The 8,313-nt window shown below is 44.9% G+C and overlaps 4 annotated features.

Annotated features, from left to right (window-relative positions):
• Positions 4,086-4,230: an enhancer, noted in NCBI's record as "145 bp 9:21962977 sequence used in MPRA reporter constructs". NCBI's record gives its function as "activates a minimal TATA-containing promoter with rs140239752 allelic activity by MPRAs in C283T melanocytes {active_cell/tissue: C283T}" and the evidence as "EXISTENCE:reporter gene assay evidence [ECO:0000049][PMID:36423637]".
• Positions 4,158-4,160: a transcriptional cis regulatory region, noted in NCBI's record as "rs145546943 (now merged into rs140239752) or 9:21962977 MPRA-significant variant associated with a GWAS melanoma risk locus at 9p21.3". NCBI's record gives its function as "allelic transcriptional activity by MPRAs in C283T melanocytes {active_cell/tissue: C283T}" and the evidence as "EXISTENCE:reporter gene assay evidence [ECO:0000049][PMID:36423637]".
• Positions 7,206-7,350: an enhancer, noted in NCBI's record as "145 bp 9:21959860 sequence used in MPRA reporter constructs". NCBI's record gives its function as "activates a minimal TATA-containing promoter with rs3948753 allelic activity by MPRAs in C283T melanocytes and UACC903 melanoma cells {active_cell/tissue: C283T | UACC903}" and the evidence as "EXISTENCE:reporter gene assay evidence [ECO:0000049][PMID:36423637]".
• Position 7,278: a transcriptional cis regulatory region, noted in NCBI's record as "rs3948753 or 9:21959860 MPRA-significant variant associated with a GWAS melanoma risk locus at 9p21.3". NCBI's record gives its function as "allelic transcriptional activity by MPRAs in C283T melanocytes and UACC903 melanoma cells {active_cell/tissue: C283T | UACC903}" and the evidence as "EXISTENCE:reporter gene assay evidence [ECO:0000049][PMID:36423637]".

The raw sequence follows: 8,313 nt of genomic DNA, 5'->3' as shown, positions 1-8,313 counted from the left end.
CTAAAAATTTTAAAGAGTAGAATTCAGTGGCATTTAGTACAATGTTATGCAACCATCACTCCTATCTAGCCCAAAACATTTTCGTCAACTGCATAGGAGGCCCCATTAAGCATACCTGTTAAACTCTTCTTGCCTCCAACTCCTGGCAACTACAAAACTCCTTTTGTCTCTATGGATTTACCTATTCTGAATATTTCTTATAAATGGGATCATACAATATGTGACCTTCCGTGTCTGGCTTCTTTCACCAAGTGTAGTGTTTTGGGGGTTCATTCCTGCTGCAGCATGTATCAGTACCTCATTTCATTTTATGGCTGAATCATATTCCATTGTATGAATATACTGGAAATTGCTCGTCTACTCATCCAGTGATGAACATCGAGTTGTTTTTTGGCTTAAAATTATTCATAGTGTTCTCATATAAATATAAATATGTAATTATTATTTTTATCCATATTTATTACATTATTTATATTTTTATATTTTTATTGTATTATAATAATTTTATAATATTATACTATGATAATATAACAGACTGACTCCTATGGTCTGTCAGTGTGCTCTTCCACTGGCGTGCTCCCTTCCGCTGGGGTGCCCCGCTCCACGTCCAGTTCCTCCGATGAGTTCCTCTGGACATAGAGCCGCTTGTGTGTCTGCCTGCTAGGGTCTCAGGGTTTTCATAGGCAAAGGATGGGGGCGTGGCGGGACAGGGTGGTCTTGGGATATGCAACATTTGGGCGTGAAGGAAGGAGTGCCTGTCCTCACCTAGGTCCAGTGGGCACAGGCCCAGGGGAGGGCCCTTACCAGGGACCCGCCTTTGTCTACCCAACACTTCCCTGCCCCTCTTCTCTATCATTGCGTTTCAGTTACCTTTGCCTTGGTTCAGCACTCACTTGGTTGCTGTAAAACTTTCTTACTGTTTCCCAGAGTTCCCACGAAGTCAATTCTGGCAGCTTTTGCTTATTTTTCTGTGTTTCTATATAGGAATGGGCCCTGCGAGCTCACTACTGTGCCACTTTTGCTATTATCTTTTGTTGTTGTTGTTGTTCAATTTGTTTTGTTTTAGGGCAGGATGGTCAAATGCTTATGATGTGCCAATTTCCTGCCTCCATATATCTCCTGTGCCTGGTACGCAGTGCCCATGCCCGGCATCCTCACTTTCTGGGCATCTGTCTGTCAACATTTCTCTGAAGCTCGCTAGCTCTACCACTCAGCTGTCCCCCTGAAAATTTTCTCCACCTTCCCCCGCAGCTGTAGGAAGCTCACCTTCCTCCTTACCCTTCCTCAACCCCACTCCTGTTCTCTCCCTTTTTCCCCCTTCCACCCCCATTTCCCCGACTTCTGCTGGGGGTGGGAGGGATAACCGATTCACAGACATTCCCCTCCCCCTCGCCGCTTCTCGGGAGATTGCTGGTTCGCAGTCCTACGCTCCACTCGCCAGCAGGCTCCGCTGTGGTGTGAGCACCTCCGGGAGCGCAAAGGCGTCCGCTTTGAGGCACTGGGCCTCGGGCCAGGCAGAGGCTATCTCCGGGACCCTTTTATGGAGATCTGCTGTTAAAGCCCACGCGTGTTTCCCGAGCACACTGAGCACACGCATACTGGGCCTGACGACTCCAGGGAGGGACCTGCTCCGGAACCGCGGACTAGACCCGGGTCCCAGAACTACCCGTGGAGGAGGCCGCAGTAACCTCCGAAGCAGGCTGAGAGACTCGGGTGGGCTTTCTCCAGTGAAAAAAAAGAAGCCAGAGGGGAAGGGTAGATGGAGCAGGAAAGAAGGACGGATTCTAAGCATGGCTGTTCGAGGCCCTGAGGCTGCAGAACTGACTGCGGGACTGCGGTTTGGAGGCGGGGACTTTCCAAAACCACGGACGAAAGAAACCTCCCAACCAACCGATTAAGCACGGGGGCTGTGGAGCAGAAGGGCAATAAAAGGCCCTGCCCACCGAAACCTGTAAAAGTTTCCTTTGTAAGCACGCGTCACGAGCGCGGGTGACGAGGCCCAGGCGCGCCCGGGTGCGGCGACCTCGGAGCCCGCGGGACGGGAGAGCAGCCCTTCCTTTGGCCGGGCCTCCAGCACCAAAACTGGCTGGGATCCTTCCTGGGGCCCACGCCAGTGCCACACCCCAAGTACTCTGGATGCAGGCCAGGTGGGAGGGTCTTCACCTCCACCTCCTTCCAGATCTCACGTGTCTCATTTACGTAATAAAGTTCAGGAAATAGCAGAAAACAACTTTTTTTTTTTTTTTTTTTTTTTTGAGACGGAGTCTTTCTCTGTCGCCCAGGCTGGAGTGCAGTGGTGCGATCTCGGCTCACTGCAACCTCCGCCTCCCGGGTGCAAGCGATTCTCCTGCCTCAGCCTCCTCAGTAGCTGAGATTACAGGCGCCCGCCACAACACCTTTTTAGTAGAGACGGATTTTCACCATTTTGGCCAGGCTGATCTCGAACTCCTGACCTCAAGTGGTCCGCCCTCCTCGACCTCCCAAAGTGTTGGGATTACAGGCCTTAGCCACCGTGCCGGTCCAGAAAAGCACATTTAAAAACTACAGATTGATATCCTTGTTGGGCATTGATGCTAAAATCCTTAACAAAATACTAGCTAACAGAATCCAACAACATATCAAAAAATAATCCACCATGACATGATCAAGTGGGTTTCATACCAGGAATGTAGGGATGATTTAACATATGTGATACACCACGAAAACAGAATTAAAAACAAAACATCACATGATCATCTCAATAGATGCAGAAAAAGCATTTGACAAAATTCAGCATCCTGTTATGATTAAAACTCTCAGCAAAATTGGCATACAAGGGACATACCTTAATGTAATAAAAGCCATCTATGAAAACCCACAGCCAACATAATACTGAATGGGAAAAGTTGAAAGCATTTCCTCTGAAAACTGGAACAAGGATGCCCACTCTCACCACTCCTCTTCAACATAGTACTGGAAGTTCTAGCCAGAGCAATCAGATGAGAGAGAAAAATAAAAAGGGTATCCAAATCAGTAAAAAGGAAGTCAAACTGTCACTGTTTGCTGATGATATGATCGTTTACCTTGAAAACCCTAAGGACTCCTCCAGAAAGCTACTAGAATTGATAAAAGAATTCAGCAAAGTTTCTGGATACAAGATTAGTGTATACAAATCAGTAGCTCTTCTATACACAAACAGCGACCAAGCAGAAAATCAAATCAAGAACTTAACCCCTTTTACAGTAGCGGCAAAAAAAAAAAAAAAAAAATCAAATCAAATCAAATACTTAGGAATATGCCTTACCAGGGAGTCAAAAGACCTCTACAAGAAAAACTACAAAACACTGCTGAAACAAATAATAGACAACATACAAATGGAAACATATCCCATGCTCATGGATGAGCAGAATCAATATTGTGAAAATGACCATACCGCCAAAAAAATCTACAAATTCAATGCAATCCCCATCAAAATACCACCATCATTCTTCACAGAATTAGAAAAAACAATTCTAAAATTCATATGAAACCAAAAAAGAGCCTGCACAGCCAAAGTAAGACTAAGCAAAAAGAACAAATGTGGAGGCATCATGCTACCTGCTTTCAAACTATACTATAAAGGCACAGTCACCAAAACAGCATGTACTAGTATAAAAATAGGCACATAGACTGATGGAACAGAACAGAGAACTCAGAAATAAACCCAAATACTTACAGCCAACTGATCTTTGACACAGCGAACAAAAATATAAAACGGGGAAAGGACACCCTTTTAAACAAATGTTGCTGGGATAATTGGCTAGCCACATAATAGGAGAATGAAACTGGATCCTCATCTCTCACCTTATACAAAAATCAACTCAAGATGGATTAAGGACTTAAACCTAAGACCTGAAACTATAAAAATTCTAGACGATAACATTGGAAAAACCCTTCTAGACATTGACTAGGCAAGGATTTCATGACCAAGAACCAAAATGCAAATGCAATAAAATCAAAGGTACGTAGCTGGGACCCAGTTAAACTAAAGAGTTTTTCCACAGCAAAAGGAACAGTCAGCAGAGTAAATAGACAACCCACAGAGTGGGAGAAAACCTTCACAATCTATGCGTCTGACAAAGGACTGATATCCAGAATCTACAATGAACTCAAACAAATCTGTAAGAAAAAAAAACAAACAATTTCATCAAAAAGTGGGCTAAGGACATGAAAAGACAATTCTCAAAAGAAGATATACAACTGACCAACAAACATGAAAAAATGCTCAACATCACTAATGATCAGAGAAATGCAAATCAAAACCACAATGCTATACTCCTGCAAGAATGGCCATAATCAAAAAATCAAAAAACAGTAGATGTTGGCATGGGTGTGGTGAGCAGGGAACACCTTTACACCACTGGTGGGAATGTAAACAAGTACAGCTACTATGGAAAACAGTGTGGAGATTCCTTAAAGAACTAAAAGTAGAACTACCATTTGATCCAGCAATCCCACTACTGGGTTTCTACCCAAAGGAAAAGGAATCATTATTTGGAAAAGATACTTGCATACGCATGTTTATAGCAGCACAATTCACAATAGCAAAATCGTGCAACTAACCCAAAAGCCCATCAATCAATGAGTGTATAAAGAAACTGTGGTATATATATATATATATAATGGAATACTACACAGCCATGAAAAGGAATGAATTAACAGCATTTGCAGTGGCCTGGATGAGAATGGAGACTACTATTCTAAGTGAACTACCTCAGGAATGGAAAACCAAGCATTGTATGTTCTCACTGATATGTGGGAGCTAAGCTATGAGAATGCAAAGGCATAAGAATGATACAATGGACTTTGGAGACTTACGGGGAAGAGATGGAGGGGGCGAGGGATAAAAGACTACAAATATGGTTCAGTGTATCCTACTCAGGTGAAGGGTGAACCCATATCTCACAAGTCACCACTAAAGAACTTACTCATGTAACCAAACACCACCTGTACCCCAATAACTTATGAAAAATAAAAAAATAAATAAATGGGCAGCATTTGCTATCCTATGAAATTGGAAAAAATAGAACAAAATAAATGGATACATCATCATTTCCCTTTTCCACTATTTGAACTGTTCTTTGAGTGAGTTGTCTTACAACATTTCAGTAGTTTTTTCTGAATTCTCAACCGTCTCTCAAATAGCTAACATCATAATTGACTGTTGCTACAATTCTATCTATAGACTGTTTGGTCTTAGAGAACTATTTCTCTAGGGAATAGAAGCCAAAGAACAGATCAGAGAACATTGCTGTTACATATTCTGTCTATGGATTACTATTTGAGATTAAGTTGTTACCTCCATTAATATCTTTAAGGCATTTCTGAAGAAATTGAAAATAAGCATTGCGAAATCCCTGTCTTGATTCAGAAGGATAATGTAGCTGCCCCAGAGCCTGTTTGCATTCATTACTAAAAAAAGATGTATGAAATCTGGAAGGAAGTAATGCGCAGAGCTCTAACTCTGTAGGTAATATTCTCATTCCTTACTTCATTCAAGAAATAATCAGTGGCCACCTACTGTGTGCCAGATATTGTGCTAGGTAATAACAGTAAAGGACTAAACGTCTATCTCAAAGGGAAGATAAAACAAAAGTATGAAGTACTGGTGTTGTTTATAAACTTTTCAATGTTCTGTTCTAGATGCTACCTTCTGAGAGAGTCTTCCCCATGGCATGGAGAAAAATTTATTAAGACTAAATCCCTTCTGTTCCCCTAACTAAGAAGAGCCTTCGTGATTTGGTAGAGTGCCAAAAAGATTTAAAAAACAAATTGGGCTGGATGCGGTGGTTCACGCCTGCAATCCCAGCACTTTGGAAGGCAGAAGCGGGTGGATCACATGAGGTCAGGAGTTCGAGATCAGCCTGACTAATATGGTGAAACCCCATCTCTTCTAAAAATACAAAAATTAGCTGGGCGTGGGGGCACTTACCTGTAATCTCAGCTACCCCAGAAGCTGAGGCAGGAGACTCGCTTGAACCTGGGAGGTGGAGGTTGCAGTGAGCAGATTTTGCAGCATTGCACTCCAGCCTAGGTAACAAGAGTGAAACTCCATCTCAAAAAAAAAAAAAAAAAAAAAAAAAAAAAAAAAAAAAAAATTGAATAGCTCTACCCAGAAAAAGCTGGGAATAAGTATCTTCTCATAACTGGAGGTGGGGAGAAAGAGAAATAGTACTCTCCCAATTATAAATCATTTAATAAAATAATTTTCGATGTTAATGACTTAAGTGAGAAAACTGTTGATACAGATGAGATTTGAAGTTAGCAGCCCAGGAATTAAATTTTAGGATCCTTCTACCTGTCAACCTCTACGTCATCAAGACTGATTAACTGCTATCTTCTTTTAAAGCTAACATTAAAGCTAATTTAACATGTGGAATGTTTTTATTAATTACCATACTTTCAAGCTTTAGATAGGAATAGTAAAGCAAAACAGATTTGACCTCTAAATCAAAGACTTTATGGATGGGGAACTGAAGAAATAAGTATTACAAAGCTGAATAATAATCAAAAAAAGTGTTTTCTAAGGACCATTGAAATGAGAGTCATGAAAAGAGCAAGCAGAGAAATGGAATGTATTTCACGTTGTTAGGGAAAATACCTCAAGGAAGTAGTTTACAGGCAAGTGAGGTTGTCCACTGGGTACTACCACAGGACCAAAGACGAATACTTCAAGAAAGTGCAGTCAGAAAGTGACCCAGTGTGTCCGGAATTGGTGGGTTCTTGGTCTCACTGACTTCAAGAATGAAGCCGCGGACCCTCGCGGTGAGTGTTACAGCTCTTAAGGTGGTGCGTCTGGAGTCTGTCCCTTCTGATGTTCAGATGTGTTCGGAGTTTCTTCCTTCTGGTGGGTTCGTGGTCTCGTTGGCTCAGGAGTGAAGCTGCAGACCTTCGCCGTGAGTGTTACAGCTCTTAAGATGACGCGTCTGGAGTCTCTCCCTTCTGATGTTCAGATGTGTTCGGAGCTTCTTCTTTCTGGTGGGTTCCTGGTCTCGCTGGCTCAGGAGTGAAGCTGCAGACCTTCGCGGTGAATGTTACAGCTCTTAACGCAGCGCGTCTGGAGTTGTTTGTTCCTCTCCATGGGCTCGTGGTCTCGCTGGGCTCAGGAGTGAAGCTGCAGATCTTCGCACTGAGTGTTACAGCTCATAAAAGCGGCGTGGACCCAAAGAGTGAGCAGTAGCAAGATTTATTGCAAAGAGTGAAAGAACAAAACTTCCACGGTGCAGAAGGGGACCCGAGTGGGTTGCCAATGCTGCCTCCGGCAGCCTGCTTTTATTCTCTTATCTGGCCCCACCCACATCCTGCTGATTGGTAGAGCCCAGTGGCCTGTTTTGTCAGGGCGCTGATTGGTGCGTTTACAATCCCTGAACTAGATACAAAGGTTCTCCACGTCCCCACCAGACTCAGGAGCCCAGCTGGCTTCACCTAGTGGATCCTGCACCAGGGCTGCAGGTGGAGCTGCCTGCCAGTCCTGCGCCGTGCGCTCGCATTCGTCAGCCCTTGGGTGGTCGTTGGGACTGGGCGCCGTGGAGCAGGGGGTGGTGCTCGTCGGGGAGGCTCGGGCAGCACAGGAGCCCATGGAGTGGGTGGGAGGCTCAGGCATGGCGGGCTGCAGGTCCCAAGCCCTGCCCCGCGGGAAGGCAGCTAAGGCCCGGCGAGAAATCGAGCACAGCGCCGGTGGGCCGGCACTGCTGGGGGATCCAGTACACTCTCCGCAGCCACTGGCCCGGGTGCTAAGTCCCTCATTCCTCGGGGCCAGCGGGGCTGGCTGGCTGCTCTGAGTGCGGGGCCGCCAAGCCCACGCCCACCCGGAACTCCAGCTGGCCCGCAAGCGCCGCACGCAGCCCCGGTTCCCGCTCGCGCCTCTCCCTCCACACCTCCCTGCAAGCTGAGGGAGTGGGCTCCAGCCTTGGCCAGCCCAGAAAGGGGCTCCCACAGTGCAGGTGGGGGCTGAAGGGCTCCTCAAATGCCGCCAAAGTGGGAGCCCAGGCAGGGGAGGTGCAAGCGAGGGCTCTGAGGACTGCCAGCATGCTGTCACCTCTCACCAGGGTTGCAAGAGGCCAATCTGCTTGGAGGCAAATTTGCATAATACACAGATGAGCAGAATGAACAACCTCCATCCCAGTCATATATAAAGTAGGCCAGTATTATATAAAATAGAAAAGAAAGAATGTGATCTCAGAGTTTCAGTTGGAAAGTAGTATTAATATTATTCCAGGAAATGGGGATGGTGAGGGTAGGGTTCACTGAAATGCATAACTTCTGGGCAAGGCCAAAAAAAAAAAAATCTTTAGG

This window comes from Homo sapiens, chromosome 9, assembly GCF_000001405.40.
Source record: "Homo sapiens chromosome 9, GRCh38.p14 Primary Assembly".
Taxonomy (NCBI): Eukaryota; Metazoa; Chordata; class Mammalia; order Primates; family Hominidae; genus Homo; species Homo sapiens.
The sequence above is the reverse complement of the archived record's forward strand: the minus strand, read 5'-3'. Positions and strand labels throughout refer to the sequence as shown.